At 37.9% G+C, this 25,321-nt stretch overlaps 1 long non-coding RNA gene and 1 pseudogene across 1 annotated transcript, besides 2 other annotated features; both read left to right on the top strand.

The window, feature by feature from the left end:
• EIF4A1P6 (eukaryotic translation initiation factor 4A1 pseudogene 6) lies at positions 2,965–4,357 on the top strand (annotated as a pseudogene).
• Positions 3,111–3,271: a silencer, noted in NCBI's record as "fragment chr13:61211939-61212099 (GRCh37/hg19 assembly coordinates)". NCBI's record gives its function as "represses an EF-1alpha promoter that drives an FKBP-Casp9 reporter gene in an ReSE screen in phorbol 12-myristate 13-acetate-treated (for megakaryocytic differentiation) K562 erythroleukemia cells {active_cell/tissue: K562(+PMA)}" and the evidence as "EXISTENCE:reporter gene assay evidence [ECO:0000049][PMID:32094911]".
• Positions 11,387–12,066: an enhancer, noted in NCBI's record as "OCT4-NANOG hESC enhancer chr13:61203144-61203823 (GRCh37/hg19 assembly coordinates)". NCBI's record gives its function as "activates a minimal SCP1, AML or CMV promoter by ChIP-STARR-seq in naive and primed H9 embryonic stem cells {active_cell/tissue: H9 hESC(naive and primed)}" and the evidence as "EXISTENCE:reporter gene assay evidence [ECO:0000049][PMID:30033119]".
• Positions 22,183–24,343, top strand: LOC105370230 (uncharacterized). Its single transcript, XR_007063921.1, has 3 exons — positions 22,183–22,242; positions 23,244–23,342; positions 24,140–24,343. It is a non-coding gene; the product is annotated as an uncharacterized LOC105370230 (long non-coding RNA).
• Positions 24,344–25,321: the final 978 nt, after the last annotated feature.

Below are 25,321 nucleotides of genomic sequence, written 5' to 3'. Positions count from 1 at the left end.
GATGCTTAGAAGAATAAAACAAATATTAACTACTATTATTTTATCTGTAAAAGAATACTTCAGCCGGGCATGGTGGCTCACGCCTGTAACCCCAGCACTTTGGGAGGCTGAGGCAGGTGGCTCACAAGGTCAGGAGTTTGAGACCAGCCTGGCCAAGATGGTGAAACCCCGTCTCTACTAAAAATACAAAAATTAGCTGGGAGTGGTGGTGGGCACCTGTAGTCCCAGCTGCTTGGGGGGCTGAGGCAGGAGAATCGCTTGAACCCAGGAGGCAGAGGTTGCAGTGAGCTGAGATCATGCCACAGCACTCTAGCCTGGGCGACATAACAAGACTCTGTCTCAAAAAAAAAAAATCTGTGAAATGATGTAGAATTTAAAATATGGAGATCAGGAAGATGGCATTTCCAGGAATAGTAGAAAGTGTGTTTCCCGAGAGGTAGGCAAGCTTTGGAGCAGCATGGCTCTGAGGGTATATACCAATCTCTGGTGGTTTTAATCCAGAGTTCTAAGGGTCCCATGACTGGGGAGGACAAGAGACCAAGCTTGGGGCTTAGAGAGTACAAAATTTCAGATCAGAGACAACTGAATGAAGCTGGGGCTTTTGTAAAGCGACATCATCAATAAGCAATCTGAAGAAAAGCCCTGTTGGACAATGGGAGATGGGGAAGATTCTTGCTTATATCTGCCTACCTAGTGAGTCAAGTGAGGCTTTGGGTGGAGCCCACATTCACAGGCAGTTAGAACCAGAAGTTTTATTTCTGTGTACTTGAAAATTTATTTGAAAATGAACTCAAGTTAGTAGCATCCTCTAGCATCTGGCAGAAGCAAACACGATCCTACGGAAGAGAAGGCACATTAAGTCCACACTTCAAAAAATTCCTAAAGATTCCATGGAACATTAATTCACAATCAAAACTAATAAAATACATAAGGACCATGGAAACATGGACAGAAGTCAACCAAAACAACCAGCTACAGAATCAGACTCACAAAACTTGTTTAAATTCAATAAGCTTGTTAAAATAAATTCATTTTAAAAATTAGAGGTATTAAAAGTATGACAGTAGAAAAAGACACTACAGAAATGCCCAGACTTTTGAAAGAACACAAATTTTTACTGCTAGAAGTGAAAATCTAAAATGAAAATGAAAAAATTCTTTACAAATTAAATAGAGGAGAAGCAGCGTAAAAACTATTTAATGAACTGAATCATAGATCTGAAAAAATTATCCAGAACTTAATATAGACAACTAAAGAAGTAGAAAGTATAAAATTTCAGATGGAAAGAATAAAAGGAAGAGGATACTGGCAATATTCAAAGAGAAAATGACTAGAAATTTCCCATAATTGATAAGATGAATCCTCAGATTCAGAAACAATGTAATCATAAGCAAAAATAAGTAGAACTAAATCTACATTATATTGTAACTGCAGAACATCAGAGACAACAAGACTATCTTTAAAATTTCAACAACAATGGAAGCCAGAGGAGAGTGGAATTATAGATTTTAATGCTAGACGAAAATAACAAAGAATTATATAAGAAAACTACACAGCTCTTATAGATTCATAACTAAAAATAAAATAATTGTTAAGGTAAGAAAACTTTTTCAAAAAAGTCAGATAAGAAAAAAACTGAGAGTGTTTATGCCAACAGAAACACCAAAGAAATTTCCAAAAGAGGAATACTACTAAGAAGAAAAATTATCTCAGAAGGAATGCCTAAAATGCAAAAAGAAACTATGAGCCAAGAAAATAATAAACATGAGGTAAATGTAAACAAATATCAACTGTAGAATATATTAATCAAAATAATAACATCTGATTTTTTGGATTTTTAAAATAAAGATAGAACTGAAATACTGCAATGGTTTAAGAGTGGGAAGTTATTAACATTAATGCTTTTTAGGATAAAAGTAAAGATGTGAATTTTATTCATTGCTAAGTTTAAAAAGTACTTTAAAATTTTTATTGAAATCTAAAAGAAGAGAAATGCAGTATATAGCTTCCTCACCTCATGAAGTTTTTTTTAATTGAAAGAAAAATTTTTATTGAAACACTAAAGGAAGAGAAATGCAGTATATAGCTTCCTTGCCTCATGAAGTTTTTTTTAATTGAAAGAAACTGTACAGTTAAAGGGCCAAATATTTCAAGCTGTATTAAATATAAACAAAACCCACTAAATGCCATTTCAACATCATACTGTAGGTCCTATTTAACAGTTAACATTTATTAGATACAACCATGTATCAGGCACTGTTGTGAGCACTTTACAGAACTTAATACAATATCTTATAAGGTATGTATAGTGTTATCCATTTTTGCAGATGAGAAAACAAGCTATATAGCTTGTCCAAGATTATATAACAAGTTAGTAGCAGAGGATAGACCCAGACAGTCCAAATCCAGAATCTGTGCTCTTAACCACTACCTTATACTCTACCACCCTACTAATACACTAATATAATTTAGCAAAGTTGCTAGATATAAAATCAATATATAAAATTCTATTGCATTTCAGTAAACCAGTAACAGTTTGAAAACTCTACTTTTTTTTTTTTTTTTTTGGAAATGGAATCTCACTCTGTCACCAGGCTGGAGTGTAGTGGCACAATCTCGGCTCATTGCAACCTCTACCTCCCGGGTTCAAGCAACTCTCCTGCCTCAGCCTGCTGAGTACGTGGGACTACAGTTGTGGGCCACTGCGCCTGGCTAATTTTTGTATTTTTTAGTACAGACAGGGTTTCACCATATTGGCCAGGCTGGTCTTGAACTCCTGACCTCGTGATCTGCCTGCCTTGGCCTCCCAAAATTCTGGGATTACAGGCATGAGCCCCCGCACCTGGCCGAAAACTCTACTTTTAAAACAATGCTATTTAAAATAGCAATAAAAAGATGCCTACTAATAAATCTAACAGAAGTTGTGGAAGATCTTTATTTAGACAATTATAAAAATAGTTTTAGAGTTTCTAAGGATCATGTCTGTGAGTCAGGATTCCAGAGACCATGGTCCTGATGGGATGGAGCCTGGAGACGTCATTGAGAGTAACTGGAATGAGGTTGACGACAGCTTTGATGACATGAACCTCTCAGAGTCCCTCCTCCATGGCATGTACATCTACAGTTCTGAGAAGCCCTCTGTCATCCAGCAGTGAGCCATCCTACCTTGTATCAAGGGTTATGATGCGATCGTTCAAGCCCAATCTGGGACTGGGAAAATGGCCACATTTGCCATATCGATTCTGCAGCAGATTGAATTAGATCTAAAGGCCACCCAGGCCTTGGTCCTAGCACCCAGTTGAGAATCGGCTCAGCAGATACAGAAGGTGGTCATGACACTAGGAGACTACATGGGTGCCTCCTGTCACGCCTGTATTTGGGGCACCAACGTGTGTGCTGAGGTATAGAAACAGCAGATGGAAGCTCCCCATATCATCGTGGGTACTCCTGGTCATGTGTTTGATATGCTTAACCGGAGATACCTGTCTCCCAAATACATCAAGATGTTTGTACTGGACGAAGCTGACGAAATGTTAAGCCATGGATTCAAGGACCAGATCTAAGACATATTCCAAAAGCTCAACAGCAGCACCTAGGTTGTTTTGCTGTCAGCTATAATGCCTTCTGATGTGCTTGAGGTGACCAAGAAGTTCACGAGGGACCCCATTCGGATTCTTGTTAGGAAGGAAGAGTTGACCTTGGAGGGTGTCTGCTCATTCTACATCAACGTGGAATAAGAGGTAGAAGCTGGACACACTGTGTGACTTGTATAAAACCCTGACTGCCACCCAGGCAGTCATCTTCATCAACACTTGAAGGAAGGTGGACTGGCTCACTGCGAAGATGCATGCTCGAGATTTCACCGTCTCTGCCATGCATGGAGATATGGACCAAAAGGAACGCGATGTGATCAGAAGGAGTTTCATTCTGGCTCTAGCAGAGTATTGATTACCACTGACCTGCTGCCCAGAAATATTGATATGCAACGACTTTCTTTAGTCATCAAATATAACCTTCCCACCAACAGGCAAAACTATATCCACAGAATCAGTCGAGGTAGATGGTTTGACCTTAAGGATGCGGATATTAACATGGTGACAGAAGAAGACAAGAGGACTCTTCGAGACATCAGGACCTTCTACAACACCTCCATTGAGGAAATGCCCCTCGATGTTGCTGACCTCATCTGAGGGGCTGTCTTGCTACTTAGCCCCAGCCAGCGTTCAATCTTGGGGGGCTGAGAAGCAGCAGGAGCGGGTAGGGAAGGGAGCCAAGGGATGAATATCTTGTCATTTTTTTTTCTTTAAATAAATGTCACTTTTTGAGGCAAAAGAAAAAAGTTTTAAAACTTAAACACATAAATTTATAACCATGTTTGTGGACAAAAGTAAACAATATTATAAAAATTAATCTTTCCAACATATTCTGTAGATTCAATGCAACTGCAGTAAAAGTCTACCAGTGTATTTTCTGAAATTTGCAAATGTGATTCTGAAATTTATATAGAAGATCAACGATCTAAGACTATCTAAAACACTCCTAACAGAAAAAAAAATTTGAAATGTTTGTCCCCCCTGGATATTTATTTAGTATAAACCTGTAGTAATTTAGTCACCATGATACTGACACAAGAAACAAACTAACGAAACTGAATAGAGAGCCCAGAAATAGGCCACGTGTATGTTAATACCTGATATAAAACAGTGCTACCCACTACAGTTAATGAGGAAAGAATGGACTGAAAAACAAGTGATTGTAACTCATATGGGGAGAAAAATTGATTCAAATACCCACTTTACTATTCACAAAAATCAATTCCAGGTGGATCAAGAACTTAAACATAAAAGGTACAACTTTTAGGAAAAAATATGAGAGAATATCTTATGGCTTCGGTGTAAGATAGAATTTTGTTTAAAAGACTCAAAAATGCAAACTGTAAAGAAAGATGAGTGAATCAAACTGCATTTAAAGTAAGAATTTCATTCCAAAAAGCTGACAACACACACACACACACACACACACACACACACATACCCCATAAAGGCAGTGAAAGACAAGCCACAGACTATGAGATATTTGCAGCATCTGTGATTGTTAAAAGGTTAGTGTCCAGAATACATACAGAATGCCTGTAAGTTACTAAGAATAAGACAAATTACCCTATATTAAAATGGTCAAATTATATTAACAGGCATATCAGAGAGAAGGAAGCACAAGTGGCCATCAAACATGTAAAAGAAATTCACACTCTTTATTAATCAAGAAAAAGCAAAGTAAAACCACTATAGTACATCATTTTATTCTGAGATAAAAATGTAAACACATTGGCTAAGATGTAAAACAAAAGAAATTTGAAGACATTATTAGCTCGAGTTTAGATTAATACAATTTGTAAAATATTTAGGCATCATCTTTTAAAGTTGAATATATGCATGCCTCATGACCCTGCCATTTTATTTGCATATGAATCTTAGAGAAGCTGTTATATATGTCCACCAAGATATACCTAAAAATGTTTGTAAGAGTATTATTTACAATACCAAAAAACTGAAAACATAACTGTACAAGAGTAGAATGCAAAAATGAATTGTGTTACCTTTATGCAGCAGTATATGACACAGCAGTAAAAGCAAATTAAATACACCTACATTCATCAATATAGGTGAATCTCAAAAGTTATGTTGAGGGAAGAAAGCTAGACACTTAAGAATATATATAGTGTGATTCCATTTATACACAGGTCAAAAGTATAATCAGACAAATATATTACTCAGGAAATCATACCTATGTAGTAAATGCATTTTTAAAAAGCAAGCCAAGATATTAGCAAAATTGCAGAATAGGAAGCTCTAAATTTTCCTTTTCCCCCATAGACACATCAATTTAAAAGCAATACATGGATCAATTCCCATTGTGAGAAATCAAGAAGCTAATTGACACTACAGCAAGCTTCAGATTAGAACAAACAAAAGAAAGAATCATCAAACTAAAAGATGGGTCATTTAAAATTATCTAGTCAGAGGAGCAAAAGAACTTGAGGGACTTACAGGACATCATCAACTGGACCATTAGAAGTACAGGAGTTTCAGAAAGAGAAAAGAGAATGAACCAGAAAGCTTATTCAAATGAAATAATGGCTGAAGACATCCCAAATCTTGAGAAAGAAATTGATCCAGATTTATGAAGCCCAAAGTATCCAAAATGAGATAAATCTAAAGAAATCCACACCAAAACATGTTATAATTATCAAAAGTCAAACACAAAGAATTTTGAAGGAAGCAATAGAAAAGCAACTTTTACATCCATGAGAACCCCCAAAAGAATATCAACAAACTTTTCAGCACAAACCTTGCAGTCCATAAGACAGTGGGATGATATATTTAAAATGCTTGAAAAAAACTGCCAATCAAAAAGAATATACCTGGCAAAACTATCCTTTAAAAATGAAAGAGATGTAAAGACTTTGCCAAACAAAAGCTGAGGAAGTGCATCACCGCTAGACCCGCCTTATAAGAAATACTAGGGAGTTCAACATGGAACAATCATTAAGCAGAAACACAATAGCACAAGAATGTATAAAACAACATTGGTAAAAGCAAATATATAAACCTATACAGAATGCTATATTAATGTAACAGTAGTGAATAAGTCACTTTTTTTTTTTTGAGACAGTTTTGCTCTTGTTGTCCAGGCTGGAGTACAGTGGTGCGATCTCGGCTCACTGCAACCTCCACCTCCCGGGTTCAAGTGATTCTCCTGCCTCAGCCTCCCAAGTAGCTGGGATTACAGGCGCCCACGACCAACACAGCTAATTGTTTGTATTTTTAGTAGAGATGGGGTTTTCACCATGTTGGCCAGGCTGGTCTCAAACCCCAGACCTCAGGTGATCCACCTGCCTCGACCCCCGCAAAGTGCTGGGATTATAGGCGTGGGCCACTATGCCTAGCCAAGTCACTTTTAATTCCAGTATAAAAGGCAAAGATAAACGTATTAAAATAACTATAATTTTAAAATATGTTAATGAATACAAAGCATAAATAAATGTAAATAGAGATATCTATAACAAAGTGTAGTGGGGTGAGAAGTAAAAATATAGAGAAACTGTATGCAATTGAAGTTATCAGCTTAAAATAGACTGTTCTATTTTAAATTCAGTTCTTTCCTATAAATAATGACTTTAAATTTAAATAAGTTAAATTCTGAAATCATGTAGAGCAGGTGAATGTTTTTAAAAAAAAAAAAAAAAAAACAAGATCCAACTATATACCATCTACAAGAGACTCACTTTAGATTTATGGACCAATACAGGATGAAAATAAAGGGATGGAAAAAGATGTTTCATGCAAATCATCTAAAATTGAGCAGGAGTGATTATATTAGTATCAGAAAAAAATAGACTAAGTCAGAAACTATCACAGACAAAGAAGGATATTATATAATGATAAAATGGTCAGTTTCCTAGGATAATATTACAATTATAAATATATAGAAACCCGACATTAACACACTTAAATGTACAAAGAAAACACTGGCAGAAATGAAGGAGAAAATAGATGACAATATAAAAATAGTGAGAGACTTCAATGCCCCACTTTCAATAAAAACATCCAATCAAAAAACCAGTAAGGAAACAGCACACTTGAACTATTGCTTTAGACCAAAGGAATCTAACAGACATATGTAGTGCATTCCACCCAACGGCAGCAGACACACTTTCTTCTCAAGTGCACATGGATCTTTCTCTAGGAAAAATTATGTTATGTCTCAAATATATCTTAACTTAAAAATATTAAAATACCAAGGATCTCTTCTTACCCACAATGGAATAAAACTACAAATCAATAGAAGAAAAACTGAAAAATGCAAAAATATGTGGAAATAGAACAACACACACCAGTGGGTCAGAAAATAAATCAAAAGGAAAATTAGAAAATATCTTGAGACAAACAAATCACAACATACCAAAACCTATGGGATGCAGCAAAACGTACTAAGAGAGAAGTTTATAGTAATAAATGTACATATAGACAATGAAATGGAAGAAACAGCCCAGGAATATATCCACATATATAGTCAACTGATTTTCAACAAAAAAAGCCAAGAATATACAATGGGAAAAGGACAGTCTTCCCTCAATGAAGGAAGTTGGAAAAACTAGATGTCCATTTAAAAAAAAATGATCTGCAAATAAATAACCTAACTTTATGATTGAGGAACTAGTCAGGGAGAAAGAACAAACTAAGCCCAAAAGTAGCAGATAGAAAAATAATAAATATTAGGAATTAATGAGTAGAAAAACAATAGAAAAAAAATCAATGAAACTAAGTTTTTTGAAAAGATAAACAAAATTGACAAATCTTTAGCTAGACTAAGAGAAAAAATTCAAATAAAATCAGATATAAAAGAGGAGACATTACAACTTATGTTACAGAAATAAAAAGAAACTACTATGAACAATTGTATGCCAAACAACTTGATAATCTAGAAGAAATGGTAAATTCTTAGAAACATACAACCTACCAATACTGAATCATGATAGAAAATCTGAACAGATCTATAACTAGTAAGGAGATCGAATCTGTAATTAAAAAAAAAAAAACTCCCAATAAAGAAAAGCCAAGGATCAAGAACAAAGCAAGGATGCCCACTCTTACCACTTATAGTCAACATAGTATTATAAGTCTTAGCCAGAGCAATTACACAAGAAAGTAATAAAAACCATCTAAATCAGAAACGAAGGAATCAAATTGTTCCTGTTTGCAGATGACATGATCTTATATATAGGAAACCCCAGAGACTTCATATACACATACACACGCTCACACACACACACACACGTTATAACCAATAAGTGAACTCATTAAAGTTGCAAGGTATAAAATCAATATATAAAAATCAGTTGTGTTTCTATATAGTAACAGTGAACTGCAAGAGAAATAATGGAAACAATCCCATTTACAATAGCATCAAAGGAATAAAATAGGAATAAATTTAAAGAGTTGAAAGACTTATATACTGACTACAAAACATTGATGAGATAAATTAAAGAAGACAAAAAATGAAAAGACATTCTGTGTTCACGGACTGGAAGACTTAATTTAAATGTTCATATTTACCAAAGCAATCTACAGATTCAATGTAATCCATATCAAAATCTCAATGGTAGTTTTCATAGAAATAGAAAAAAAAATTCTAAAATCCTTATGGAACCACAAATGAGTAGCCAAAACAATCTTGAAAAAGAACAAAGCTGGAGAAATCATACTTCCTGATTTCAAAATATGTAACAAAGCTACAGTTATTTTTCAAAGTATGGTACTGACATACAGACAGACACATAGACCAATGAAACAGAAGACAGCACCCAGAAATAAATCCACATAGATATTGTCAACTGATCTTCAATAAAAGAGCCAAGAATGCATAATGGGAAAAGGATTTTTTTTTTTTTTTTTTTTTTTTTTTTGAGATGGAGTTTTGCTCTTGTTGCCCAGGCTGGAGTGCAATGGCGCGATCTCAGCGCACCGCAACCTCTGCCTCCCAGATTCAAGCGATTCTCCTGCCTCAGCTTCCCGAGTAGCTGAGATTACAGGCATGCACCACCACGCCCGTCTAATTTTTTTGTATTTTTAATAGAGACGGGGTTTCTCCATGTTGGCTTGGCTGGTCTCAAACTCTCGACTTTAGGTGATCTGCCCGCCTCAGCCTCCCAAAGTGCCGGGATTACAGGTGTGAGCCACTGTGCCGGGCCGATGAAAGGATCGTCTTAACGAATGGAGTTGAGAAAGCTAGAAGTCCATATGCAAAAGAATGAAATAGTACCCTTACCTTACACCACATACAAATATCAACTCAAAATGGATTAAAGACTTAAATGTGAGACCTGAAACTGTAAAACTACTATGAGTCATAAGGGTAATGATTCATAATATTGGTTTTTTGGATATGACCCCAAAAGCACAGGCAACAAAAACAAAAATAGACAAACGGGATTACATCAAACTAAAAAGCTCTGCACAGGCAAAGAAACAATCAACAGAGTGAAGACAACATCTATGGAATGGGAGAAAATTTTTGCAAACATCTGATAAGGGGTTCATATCAAACAGATATGAATAACTCAAACAACTCAATACAAGGAAACAAATTAACACAATTTTAAAAACAGGAAAAAAAAACAGAATACACATTTCTCAAAAGAAGATACACAAATGGCCAACAGGTATATGAAAAAATGCTCAATATCACCCTATCAGGGAAATATAAATTAAAATCACAATGAGGTATCACTTCAAATCTGTTAGGATGACTATTCTAACAAAACACACACAAAAAAGATAACAAGTGTTGATAAGGATGTGGAGAAAAAGGACCATGGTACACTGTTTGTAGGTATGTCAATTAGTACAGCCATTATGAAAAACAGTATGAAGATTGCTCCAAAAACTGAAAATAGAACTACCCATTTGATCCAGCAATTTCACTTCTGGGTATACATCCAAAGGATATAAAATATGTCAAAGAGATATCTGCACCCCAGTGTTCATTGCAGCATTATTTGCAATAGCCAAGATACAAAAGCAATCTAAGTTTCTGTCAGTGGATGAATGGATAAAGAGAATATGTTGTATATGTACACAATGGAATACTACTCAGTCTTTAAAAAGAAGGAAATTCTGTCATTTGCAACAACATGAATAAATTTGGAGGACATCCTGTTAAGCAAAATAAGCCAGATACAGAAAAACAAATATTGCATGTTCTCAATCATAGAATCTAAAAAAGTTGAATTCACAGAAGCAGGGAGTAAAATGGTGGTTACCAGGTGCTGAAGTGGAGGGAAGGAAAGGTTTGGAAGATGATGGTCAAAGGATACAAAATTTCAGTTAGACAGGAGGAATAAGTTCAAGAGAGCTGTTGTACAACCTGGTGACTATAATGATAATGCATTGTATTCTTAAAAGTCACTAAGAGATTTTAAGTCTTCTCATACCCAAAAAATGATGAAAGGCACTATGTTAGTTTGATCTAGCTATTCTACAACATACACATCTTTCAAAGCATCATGTTGTACATGATGTATATATTTATAATTGCATTGTATATATTTATAATTGTATTGTATACAATTTTTAAAAATTTAAGTAAAAAAGAGAAAAAGGAAAAAAGTATATTCACTCAAAAACCAAAAGAGAAAAAAAGCAAGCCAATAATAAATACAAAATTCTGAATTGCAGTTACCTTGTAAAGGGGAGAAGAAAGGGATGAGATTATGGAGGTATTTACAAGGACATTCAAAATTGATATTTTGCTGTATTATTGTATTTTGTTTTGTTACTTTTAAACTGTATGAATAATATTAAATATTCTGTGTGTATGGTCTATCTCTCTAAAACTAAAATTAAAACACGGACCATCTGAAAACACACACTATTTGCTTTGTACCTTTCATGTGTATCATCTATATTTATTAAAACTAGCTCAGATCCTAACATGAACAAAAATAAATATAATTATATAGGAAAATACATACCCTCTGTAAAACTCCAAACACAATTAAAGAATTATTGTGGTCATTTTAGCATACGTGTAAAAATTTGCACTGAACACCATTTACTGCTAGGGTACTAGAAGGAAGATGGAGCTGTCACGGGTGTCCTCTTCCACATAGCAGGTGGCAATTAGCACTCCAAAGAACTGAAACGGGTTTAATCCTGGAAGCCACAGGATTCCATTTGTGCTTTAAAAGACCACTTGGACTGCTATTTAGTACATTGTAGAAACAGGGAGTTAATTACTGGTAGTCCTAGATTGGAACAGAAGCAGAGGGTAGAACTAGGATTGAGCGGTGTTCGCAGCAACAAAGTCAACAGATTTAAAATCTGTTTTGAAGGTAGAATATGATGTTGATGAATTAGATGTGGAGATAACCTTATAAAATAGTAATATGTCAAAATATCTATAGTTCTCATTCTCTAAAGATGCTTTAGTTACTTCAACAGATTTCTCTGTTGTCTTCATAAGTTCTACAGAAATTAAAAAATAAAAATAAATATCTCTTGGCTAATCGTAACACTGGCAACATGGCTCACGCCATGTCCATGCATATACCTTCCACCAGGGAAAACACGTGGAACCACCAGAAGGTGTCAGAACTGCCACAAACTCTTTCAATTATTGATAATAAATTGTGACACACTATTTTATTCTTTAACATTCTCAAATTTTTATAAAGATAAAGAATTAAAGCCTTTTGCTATCATAGCCAGCTACTGTATGACCCCATTTCCAAATATATTGGTTACATTCTGACCCTGCTTCCTGGAATAATAAAATACACAAATGCTTACTGAGTGCTTGCTAGGTACCAGGCACTGTTTGTAACTCTTGTGAGAATTAACTGGTTTAATCCTCACTTCGGTCCTGGGAGGAAGAGAGTCTCATTATCTCCATTCACAGCACGTGAATCAAACATGTTTATTGCTTCCCAGACTTTAAGTTACAGAAGGAGCTCGGAGTCACACTGACACCGAACTGTGTGTTTTAACATGCCCAAGTTGCACTTGATGGATCTTAAGTGTCTTTACTGATTAATTTTGTTGAAAATACCCAAGGAAGATTCATAAAAATGTAGAAAACATACAAATATTGAGAAAACAAATCAGTCCCTCCCCAAAGATTGAGGATAAGCAATGTCTGTATCATAAAGAGATAAAGAGAAACTAGAAATGCAAGCAAATTTCTAAGCAAATAAACTTGATAGTACCAAGTATTCCAAATGTTATAAAAAATATACAATGAAACCAGCAAGGACCCAAGGACCCCACTTAAAGCTGGAAAAAAAATATGTAACATTGGGATACATAATGCTGAGCTTGATTTTCTTTTTCAACTGTCACACTCTAAACAGATTAAACTTAAAATTTTCTCAGAAGCCACAAGAACCGTATGTGTTTGTTGACAGGGAAGCCATACCACTGGGGCAGAAGTCTCTTACTTGCTTACACTTAAGTACTAAGCCTGTAATGAATGGTTTATAGTGGTACTAAGCCTGTAATGCACGGGTTATAATGGTTTTCAACCTTGACAACACATTAAAATCACCTGGTGTGCTTTCTTAACTAGCTTTCCAACCCCTGAAAGTCTATTCTGTTGGTCTGGAAGCTATCTGAGGCACCAGGAGTTTTTATAAATCCCCAGGAAATTCCAACGTACGATCAAAGCTTGAGAACTACTGCTTTAGATCTAGGCCTATGGAGGTTCTCACCACTGCAACATAGCCATGCTCCGGGCTTAACACTACCTTGAAAGGTAAGAAAATAAGCAAAAGGCTGAAGCCATCTTCTGAATTCCTATAAACCATCATGAGCACTTGGTTAGATTACTTCTTCTGCAAGCACTACCTGTTAGGAAACTTAGCTATCTAGCGAGCCAGCCACCGTTGACAGCTTCTTTTAGATGTATTTGCTTTAACATAACATGTGAACATGCTTGGACAGCAATAAATAGCACAGCTTTCTTCATTGTAACTACGAATTACGTTAACTATGGATTAGACAAAAGAGAAGATGGGAAAGGGAGAAATTGAGGACCTGATATGTGCTAGACATTATGTGCATTTGGCTTTGAATCTTTACAACAATCCTATAAGGAAAGTGTATTTTATTTTATTCCTCAGGAAACTGAGGTTCAGTGGGGATTGAGTGGTCTCCCAAGATCCCAGGGCTACCACAGAGTAACAACACTGGGGAGGTGACACAAACTGCTTTTTACTATACCACACTGCCCCCTAGGGCTACAGGGGTCTATGGCACGCGCTGGAAGTTAAAAGAATTTGAAATACCAGAAGGCAGCAGCCGGCTTGAAATCTTCCCTGGTAGACCTAATTGGATGTGATTGCTCTTTCTCCCAACACTTACAGCCTTTTCTGTGGGTACCACTGGCTTGGCACGGAACTCTTACTGCCTTTTGTTAATTTCTAATTCATGTGCTTTCAACTAATTGCCATTTACGCAAGCTCAGGCAGGGCGAAGACATTCCTGGTATTTTTTAATCTACCTCAGAGCCTAAAATTGCCTTAGAGCAGTGCTTCTCAAACTGTAATGTACATAGGAATCACCTGCGGACCTTGTTAAACTGCAGATTCTAATTCAGAAGGTTTGGGTGGGGCCTGAGATCCTCCATCTCTAACAAGCAGTCAGGGGATGCCAATGGTGCTGGTGAGATCATTCTTACCGTGAATAAAAAGAAGGCAATTATTCCACATAAATGGGGTTTTAAAACTAGACTTGAGGAACAAGCAGCTATGGTTGTGGCTTGTTAACTGAGGTTTCACCACGTATTTCAATCATTTTTTTTAAAAAGGTGCCTCAGTGCTGCATGCAACTATCAAGACTCTACAATCATCCCTTTCCTGTTTAATGAATCTTTGCAGATTGGTTATTTGATAGGTAGGACATCTCAATGTGAAAAGAAAGCACCTACAAAATACAGTTGAATTTCTCATGAATAACACAAAAGAACATTAACTGGTTGGTCAATGTTTTGTTTTGTTTTTAATTAAGGATAGCAGTCTATTCCTTCCACAATTGCTCCTGTAAGCCCTGGGACCTCCTCACATGTGGCCACAGTGTCCTTGGAGCTCCCAGAGTGATTGGGATACTTTTTTTCTTCTTCTTTTGAGAGCATCTCGCTCTTGTCACCCAGGCTGGAGTGCAATGGCGCTATCTCAGCTCACTGCAACATCTGCCTCCCAGGTTCAAGCGATTCTCCTGCCTCAGCCTCCCGAGTAGCTGGGACTACAGGCATGCACCACTACGCCAAGCTAATTTTTGTATTTTGAGACAGGATTTCACCATGTTGGTGGGGCTGGTCTTAAACTCCTGACCTCAGGTGATCCGCCTGCATCAGCCTCCCAAAGTGCTGGATTACAGGCATGAGCCACAGTGCCCAGCCCATGATTGGGGTACTTCTGGGGAAACCTGTGGGTAAACTCTATTAACATATTCTGGACCAAACACGGGCATTACAAACAGCAGCCTCCAGCTCAGCAGATGTGAGTTCAAGCTCTGGCAAACATTTTATTTCTCAAAGCTTCATTTTTCCTCCAGTACCACCCTCATGCAAGACTAAGGACCTTTGGCATAATCCAAAATGCCCAAACTCAATTTATTCACAAGATTATATTCATACACCCCATAGAATAGCTTTTCTCATTCACAATATTTCATTATTGATTTTGTGGTGACACAAAAGAGGGTTTATGCTGTATGTGATACTTTATAAATACTCCTGAAACATGTCATATTGTGGCTCAGAAGAAGACATCTCTATCCCACATTCACCTTTGTGCCCCCCGCTCCCAGACACCATACCATGATGGCATGGAGTTTTATACAGATGTAACTGTGTCCCTTGAGCAGCCTCAATTTCCTCAACTTTAAAAGGGCTAATAATGCCTAGCCTGGATGTTTCCATGAAAATTAAACATATATTTTCCTCCAGAAGTCCCTGGCAACCTCTAGCCAACAAATCCAGACCATTTCCCCCCATGCACCCTCCAATCTTCATCTTACTACCCTCATCCATAACCTCATCTCCCTGTATCTTCTTTCTTTTTAGAGAAATATGACTCTCTGTTAGTCTTTCCAGTTAGGATTCATCCTCTTTTGATGACAACAGTTAGAAATAACAAATAACTTCACACAGTCAGTTCTCTATAAATATTTGTTACATGAATAAACAATTGATCCACCTGTAAAACAAATCAAGGCCAGTAGATCCTAAATATTTAGTTCTAGAAATCTCTACTACTGAGCAAAATCAGTTGGGAAATATTAACAAATAGCAGCTGTTTATGACAAATTCCTTTTAATTCAATTTATTCAAGCCCCCATTCACAAAAAGAAAGGAACAAATCAAAGGTACCACCAATATTTAGAAATCATTTGAGAAATAGTGCAGCAGCCAGAACATCAGGCTGTCAGAAGTACTGTGAGTTTGCCTAAAGCTTACATCTATGACAGCTTTTTTTTTTTTTTTTTTTTTTGAGATGGAGTTTCGCTCTTGTTGCCCAGGCTGGAGTGCAATGGCGTGATCTCAGCTCACCACAACCTCTGCCTCCCAGGTTCAAGCTATTCTCCTGCCTCAGCCTTCCTGAGTAGCTGGGATTACAGGCATGTGCCACCACACCCGGCTAATTTTGTATTTTTAGTAGAGACGGGGTTTCTCCATGTTGGTCAGGCTGGTATCGAACTCCCGACCTCATATGATCCACCCACCTCGGCCTCCCAGAGTGCTGGGATCATAGGCATGAGCCACCATGCCCGGCTATGACAGCTTTTAAGATGTATATAGAAACATGCAAGAAAATGCCCAGCACCAGGAAATTTGTGTGATCCTCTTGATACCCATGTGAGACCACTCATGAATGAACTGAAGATATTGCTACTTCACATTGGAGATTATTATAAAGAGTAAAGGAAATGGCATATGGGTTTTCTATTCCAGCAGCACTTAGTAGATATTCAGAAAATTGCCCATTCTGGCTCATCTTGGTGGCTATTTCCATCCCATTGGCATGGGGAAGAAGAGAAGCAAAGGCTTAATTGACATGTTCGTTGACCTTATTAAAAAAGAAAGCTCTGACCATGACAAACATTTTATGTTAGGCAATCTTCGCTCTTGTAGTCTTCCAAAATCTTATGAGAGGTAGTGTCAAATTCTAAAACATGTAGTTGTACAGGTATGAAAAAATTGCACTCAGTGGCAGGGAAACAGGAAAGATAAACAGAAGAATGGAAAATCCCATCATTGCAAAGAAAAAAAACAAACTTCACAAAAAAAGATCAAATCACACCACCAAATAACATGACACTAAAAAGCTGTAAAAGAAAATCTATGTCCGGGCGCAGTGGCTCACACCTGTAATCCCAGCACTTTGGGAGGCCGAGGCGGGCAGATCACAAGGTCAGGAGATCGAGACCATCCTGGCTAACACGGTGAAACCCCATCTCTACTAAAAATACAAAAAAAATTAGCCGGGCCTGGTGGTGGGCGCCTGGAGTCCCAGCTACTTGGGAGACTGAGGCAGGAGAATGGTGTGAACACAGGAGGCAGAGCTTGCAGTGAGCCGAGATCATGCCACTGCACTCCAGCCTGGGCGACAGAGCCAGACTCCATGCAAAAAAAAAAAAAAAAAAAAAAAAAAGGAAATCTATAAGAAAGCCTTAAAGAAATGTGAAAAAAAAAAGATTATTAATTGAACAAAATTTGGCCTATAAGATAGGCAAACAAGAGACTTTTATCAGAGAGAAAATTTTATTAAAATGAAATTCATATATAAATGGCCCATTTGAGTGAAAGCAATTACCAGCTAAACAAGATTCATAGCAAAATGTCAGAGCCAAATGATTCAATGGCAAACGAAAAACAAAAGTCAGGACACAAGAAAGAGTGCATGTTATTTTATGTTATATATTTATGTACCAATGAAATCACCTTTTCTATTTTTCCCTAAAACTGTTGAGTATTTAAGTAGTAATTGCCTTTAGTGTACTAACTGAAAATCTACTTGATATCCTGTTAATTAGGTTATACATAATATAATCTAGGGGTTACAGTGAACACATTCAAAGGGAATGTGCTCATTATAAAATCCTATTACATGTGGTTACAGTCCCTAACGTCAGTAAGAAAACCTATGGGAATCCAGGTAATTTCCACATTTTAGACATGTGTGGAAATGTCACACCTCCTCCTCTCCTGGAGGTTTCTGAGGAATGTGTTTTATTCCATCTGAAGCCTCAGGCATGTTAGAACTCCTCAGCCAAAGTGTATTCTACACCTTATTCTGCCCTCCACATTGAGGCACCATGCTTCACAAATTTATATCAATGATTATGCTCAGAGGTGTCCTCAGGTATTGTTTTGAGTTTTGGATTTTTTCCAAATTCACATATCCATCTTCCTGTTGATTATCTCCCTAGTGCTGTGACTTAGGTGTGCCACCTCCACTTAGAGAACTATGAGATCTATTAAAAAACAATCTAACATCTTGAGCCAAGAAAAGTACTAAATATCATTGAGGACTAGTTTTGTTTTTCAAAAAAGTAAGCAGACATACCCCAGCTCAGCGCATTCATTTATATTTGCTATTGAAAAACAAAACTTAAAAAATAAAATGCTAATACTAGGAATGCAAGTACTTTGTCTAAGCGAAACCAGAGTAAAAAAACTGAAAATCACTCCATCTCATATCCAGTTCCTGAGTAAGGAGGATTCATGCCCTTGACTCTGAAATGAACCTCATGACTGCCCCAAAGAGTTCATTGTCTACAAGGAAAATTCCGAAGTTGCAGGAAAATATTTCCATCTTACCCACATCTCATTTCCACATCCACCTCTTGGATGATGATTGAAATTTTATGACTACGGCTTCTGCCCTGGGCTTTACATTGTCCTCCACTGAGATGCAGACAGTATTACAAAGTTAACACCTTTAGACTTATCAGTTAGTTTCATCCTCATGTACTGCAAGTTATCTGCCCTTTCCTGAGAGCTGCTTCTGCAAGAGGCAGTGACAGGAAGATTCTAAGAGAGGGTGAGGCCAGGTGCCTAGGAGGAAAGCAGCAGCAGAAAGGGAGAGCTAAGGACACAGAAGGCAAGCCAACCTCTTCTCAATTTTACCTAAGGCTTCAGCAGGGAAAACTGTATGAATACAATTGCAAATGGAACATCTTTCTAAAGTACATAAGCCCAGAGCTGCTTCAGGTGATGTTGCAATTGGAGTCTGGACCTCTGTCCACTGTACTCGTTTTTCTAGTCCCCAAGACATCACAGAGTTCTAGGGTTTCTTGGACCCTAAGGGTCCAGGAAAGATGCTTTGAAAACCACTGGCCTATTGGAAGTTGCTCTTGTGAAAGAGATTTTCTTATCTATAAGAACCATTTCTTTTAAATCTATAATCAAGGATTTATTATTTCAGAGGTTAATTTCTGGATAGGTGGTTGGGAGATAAATTAGAAAAGAAAGATATTGTTATTTTTCAGCCAGATTCTTTGTGCTATTAAGATCTTGATTTTCAAATAAGATGGAGCTAGCAGAAGCCAAGAGGCCAAGGGAGTTTCACAGCTCCATAGACAGAGGCACTGCTTGAGAGCTGTACAAACCCAGACATTCTGTTCTCTCCATCTCCTGTTGCTGCTTCTTTCTTGCTGCAGGTGGGTTTATTCTGTTCTAAGCCCATCTGAAGGAAATGGTCTCAATACTAATTCCCAATTTATATCTTCTCTATTCATGAAACTAGCCAAACCAATTCCAAATCTAGAAAGTACATTCCTCAGCCCAGTTGAGCTGATTATTCCCATCATTCTGATTATTCCGATTATTCCTGTCAGAATAATCTGTGTGTCAACTGTGCCATGGTTAGGACAAGTTTCAGAAAAGGAGACAAAACACTAGACAACCTCACAATAGTTGTCCAGCACTCTCTTCCTGGAAACCATGCCCCTGATTTAGCAGCAATGAGCCGATTCTCCCTATCACCTCCCAACTCCGTATTCAGTGATGTCATATTAGTAGCCTGAAATCAGCCAGGAGGGGAGTATTTATATCATGAAAACTGGCAAATGCTACACATCAGGGCTTTTTTTTTTTTTCCAGACAGCCAATTTACCAGCACACCACTGTCAGGTAAGTCCCCTATAATTTGTGATTGGAGACGGCCACATTAACATCCACCCACACACTGTGAAGTACTGCAGATAACCTTAGTGTCCTTTTCTTCATAAATATGTTCCTCTAGAAGGAACCCAGTAAATATGCTCACCCAAGTATTTTTATGTGTTTAAGAAAATAGTCAGACTTGTGCATCACCGTGGTCAAGTGACCACATCCCTGAGCATTTAGAGTAGTATTTCAAGCATCTCAAGCATTGTCCACTATCTTCATTACAAGGTTAGACACAGGTTAGAAGGATCTTAAAAATTATCCCCTTTCCTAGTAAAAATTAAAAACAACAGCAAGTAGAGAAATCCAGGACAGAAGGTGTGAAGAAACAGAAGTTACAGAAGCACTTGCTGGTATACAGTAGGAGCTCAACAAATATTTGGGAATGTATGAAGAAAAGAAATGAAGTAGAAAGAGGAAAGGAAGTATGGGGGTGGGAAGGAGGGAGGACAGAACATAAACCAAATGAGACGACAACCAACAAAACGACCCCCCACTAAGATAATAAGCAGAAGACATTAAATAATAAGTATAAAAGCATTCATTCACTCAACAAATGATATCAAGTGCCAAACATATGGCAGGGACTTGGCATAAAAAAGTCTATAAGTCACGGTCCCTGCCTCAAGCACTGTACAGTTTTGTAGAGGAGAGATTCAAGTAAATTGACATTTCAATATTAGCAAGTGCTATGATTAACTACCCCATGCTGATCATAAAAAGGCTGGAGATCATAAAAAGGCTTCTAATCCAAACTTGGAAGTCCCAAAAGGTCACACCCACCAAAAAAGAAACATCTAAACCAAGACCTGAAGAACATATAAAAGCTCCTTGAGTGAAGAGGGTGGGGCAAAGGGCATTTCAGGTGGAGGAGAAAGTATACAAAAAGGGTTTGGTGTTGAGTGGAAATAGGCAATGTTGGATTTAACAAGTTCTGACTGGCTCAGGATAGTATCTAAAAGAGAAAGCTGGAGATGTAAATCAAGCCAAGCTATGAAGGTCTCACAAAGCCTTCTCAGAATTGGCACTTTGAGGGCAAAGGAGAACCATCAAAGACTTGAAAGAAGATATCACTTTAGAGAAATCAGGGAGTCCTGTTCATTTTATCTTCTGAATCACTCTCAGACTGGTCTAGCCCTCTCCATCATCACAACTTTCTCTGTCAACTGGATTGACATGATATCTCCAGCTGGCCTCCTTGCCTCCACTCTGTCCTGCCTCTACACTATTTTTCACATGGAAGGCAGGGAGAACAGCTGGGGAGATTGTTGCAACAATCCTGTTGAGAGACTGTTTTGGTGAAGAAGAGAGGTGGTCCAATCTGAGAGCCATTCAAGAGATCGAATAAGCAGGGCTCAGTGAGTAACAGGACTTGGGGCAAAGGAGTCAGGTTTCCAGGTTTCTGACTTGGGCAGCTGGGTGGATAGTGGTGCTCTTTACTTTAAAAAGAAATAAAGAAAAAATAGGTTTACCAGGTGGTATGGTTTGGATATTCATCTCCTCCCAATCTCATGTTGAAATGTGATCCCCACTGTTAGAGATGGGCCTAGTGGGAGGTGTTTGGGTTATGGAAGTGGATCCCTCATGAATGGCTTGGTGCCCTCCTCCCAGTAATGAGTGAGCTTTTGCCGTTAATTCACATGAGATCTGGTTGTTTAAAGGAGCCTGGCACTTCCCCTTTCCTCTCTTGCTCCCTCTTACCATGTGACACGCTGCTCACCCTTCACTTTCCATCTTGATTGTCAGCTTCCTGAGACCTCACCAGAAGCTGAGCAGATGCTAGTACCATGCTTCTTGTACAGCCTACAGAACTGTAAGCCAAATAAACCTCTTCTCTTTATAAATTGCCCAGCCTCAGATACCCCTGTATAGCAATTCAAAGTAGACTAACACAGTGAGATAGATCAGGAGTTTTTGTCCTTGAGGTGCTGTGGGACATCCCGGTAAAGATATATAGTTTATTCAAAAAGATATATATTCATATATATAAAGATTAAAGATATATTGAGATATATGAAGATAGATATAAAAGATTAAAGATATATATTAAAGATCATATATAAGTTATTAGTTATCAACAGTTTATTCAAAAAATAGGTCACCATGATTTATAATTTTTACATGTTGGGTTTTGAGGTGGTTAGTAAAAAACATTGCTTTTCCCCAATCAAATGAGGCATGGGCATAAACAGAAGTAAAATATTACCTTTGATGATTGAGACATATCATGTTTGGGAGACACAGGTTGCAAATGTTTCATTCGTGATTTAGAGAGATGGCCCAGTGATCCCTGCCACCTGGTATTCATGTCCTTGTGGAGCCCTGTTCCATGCTGTATATGGCTGACTCATAGGACTGATAGGATACTGTGAAAATGACAAATGTGACTTCTGAGGCTAGGTCACAAAAGACATTATGACTTGTCTTGCTCTCTCATGGATCTCTCTCTCTCTGGGAGAAGCCAGCTGCCAGGTCATGAGGTTACCCAAGCAGCCCTGTGGAGGCACTCTTATGGTGAGGAACTGAGGCCTCCTGCCAACAGCCACGTGACTGAGCCACCTTGGAAACAGATCATCCAGCCCTCAAGCCCCCAGATGACTGAAGCCCCAACCCCCTTGACTATACCCACATGAGAAAGCCTGAGCAGAACCACCCCTCTAAACTGCTTCTAAATTCTCAACCCACAAAAACTGTGAGATAGTAAATGTGTGTGGTTTTAAGCCACTAAGTTTTGGGGGCAATTTGTTACACAGCAACAGATAAGTAATATAGAAACTTACCTGCCAGGTCACAGCACATATAGTGGAGAGCTGTAGGCCTCCCCACTGGGGCCCTCCCCCTATAAAACTTGAGGCAGTTGTTCTCAGACTCCCACAGGCAACAGAATCATCTGCCAGGCTTATTAAAATACAGATTACTGGGCCCGACCCAAGAGTTTCTGATTCGATAGATCTGAGGTAAAATCAGAAAATGTGGAATTCTGGAGTGAGTTCCAGGGGTTTGGGAGCTGATGAAATGTTGTGGCCATGAGAGGGCACTAACACACAGCAAGCTTTATTTGGGTGACACTGAGAAGTCCGCTCCTGGCAGAAGTTTCTCAGAGCATGAGACCATTCCAAGAGAAAGAGGACAAGGGAACTCCCGAGAGAGAGGGAATCAGAGGGGAGAACTACAATTACTAAGTGGTACCCTCAGCAGCCCAGCAGAGTCTCTGGGTCAATGAGCTCCCAAGGGTAGCAGAGCTAGGAGTCTTGGTATAGAAGCAGGATTTCTCCTGTCAATGGCTAGCAGATGTCAGGTGCAGTTTCACAGGGTAGGCAAAACAAGAAGTATCTAAATGGCTAAGAACCTACTTATCTGGGCTATGTTTAAAACAACTGGGTGTGTAAACATTGAGTTGGGCACTGCTCGGCTTTTGAGCTCACTGCTCCCAGCCTCCTGTGAGGGAGTAAATAATAGGCCCAATATACAGAGGCCATCTTGGGCATTTATGTAACAAATTCTCACGTCTCCAGGTGCTGTTACTGTTGGCCCAAGAACACATTTTGAGAAGACTGGCCTAGAGGAACCAATAATGTGGGTTTCTTATGGGCAGGATGGCACTGGAGAAGAGGGTGAGGCTCAGTGTCTTCTCCCAAATTTTCATATCAAATAAAACCTCTTTCCCCGGAGAGAAGTAACAAGAGAGGCAGAGGGAAATGATTCTAACAGAAGTTCTAGCCACATGGAAGGAAGCATTAGCAGTGAGGAATAACTGTTCTCTCCCTAAACATACCACCCAAGGTAATGATTCTACATCCTAAGAAAATGTATTTTTTCACAGGGGCATTTTTTTTCCATTGTTTAGAAGAAGGAACTCCAATGAGGACTGTCTGGTTTTCTATAAACAGAAACCAGTTTCATTATTCTGACAAACAACAGTACTTTGCCTGTGGGTGGTAAAAGCTGTTTATATATCCTTACCTTAATTAAGTCATCTCTGACTAAAAATGATTATCTCACAAGTGTTCTCAACAGACTTTCTTTAAAGAATTCCAAGAAATACATCTATTTTTAGTGTTATAATAGGTATGTAAATTGAGATCTAATACTGAATCTGTTTCCTTTAATTCCATTTTGAGTTGCTTTTATTTCTCCTTTATAACATTCATGTTCCCATAATTATCCATTCCTTCAATCATTATTTATTTAGTCTTAATGAGTATGTTCTGTGCATTAAGAAGAGCCCTAGGTGCTTTGAGATGATAGAAGTTAAAGCCAGAGCTAAGACTAAAAAACAAAAACAAAACGGAACAATTTTTTTTTTAAATTATGAGAACTTATATGAAGAAAACTTGGTTACTGGGAGCTTTTGGTATACTCTATTGATTTCAGCTATTTTATTTTCCTTTCCCCCTCCATTCACATTTAGGGAAACTAACACTAAATTAGCATGAAGAGCATACGCCTGTGATCTCAGCTATTCGGGATGCAGAGGCAGGAGGATCACATGAGCTCAGAAGCTCAAGCCCAGCCTGGGCAACGTAGAAAGACACAGACTAAAAAAGAAAAAAAGGGAAGAAAAAAAAAGACGGAAAAAAATTAGCATGAACAATTCAAGGGAGACAAGAGAACTGAGCCACCTTCCTAGCCAAGAAAAACCCCAGCTTGCAATTTACTGAATAGAAGTGTGCCACTTGACAGAGTAGTTTTAATGACACTGAACCTTTTGTGAGTCTTGCACTTCTCTTGGCTGAAATCTTCAAACTGGCTCAAAGAAGCTCCAGTCTCTTCATTCTGTAAGTGTTGATACCATTTGCATAACTACCTGTCCTTATCCCCTACCAGGTGCCTCCTTTCCAACCTTGAACGTTTCTTCTTGATTCATTATAATTAAAGAGCTAATGTAGCCATTCAAGTTCACATTGTCAATGACCATGTAATCATCTTCCCTAGTGGCCAGAATTCCTTTCTTTTTATGAGGTTACAATTAAATTCCCTCCAGCCATAAGGTCAAAAGAATCCGGAACAGTTAGCCTTCCCAGTGACTAATTTCACACCTGTGACTCTGACACATATAAAATAAGACATCTGAAATGGAAGGTGTCAATTTAAGAAATAATATACATTTGACTACACCTGAACTGAAGTCAATTAGACGTAAAAATTAAAGGCGGTGGATTCTTTTCCTGTTACTGGAAGTGATGCTTGACATTCTACTTATCAATGTAAGACATCTGTGTCCCTTAGAAATGTTAAGGTAATTTGTAAGTTGGAAAAGAATTAAAATGGCCCAAAGCCTCCGGGAGATTAAGATAACGTGTTCATGTCTGTTCTGTGTAAAAACTTGTCTATCACTTTATTTTTTTTTTCCCTTCTCAGGATTTAAGTTTTTCTAAAATAGATTTTATTTTTCTGCTATTGAGGCTTCTAATATTTTGTTAAGAATTACATGTATTATTTTGTTAATAATCAATATGCACAACTAAATACCAGGAGCAGATTTAGCCTCTTGACTTCCAAGATGTAACATTGACCAGTGGAGCCGCCTTTTATTTCTGTCACCTTGAAATGCACTGTGGACCTTCCCCTTCACCTACAGCTTTTAGTGATT

Source organism: Homo sapiens, chromosome 13, assembly GCF_000001405.40.
Source record: "Homo sapiens chromosome 13, GRCh38.p14 Primary Assembly".
NCBI classification, from domain to species: Eukaryota; Metazoa; Chordata; class Mammalia; order Primates; family Hominidae; genus Homo; species Homo sapiens.
Note: the sequence above shows the minus strand (reverse complement) of the source record. Positions and strands in the feature narration are given on the sequence as shown.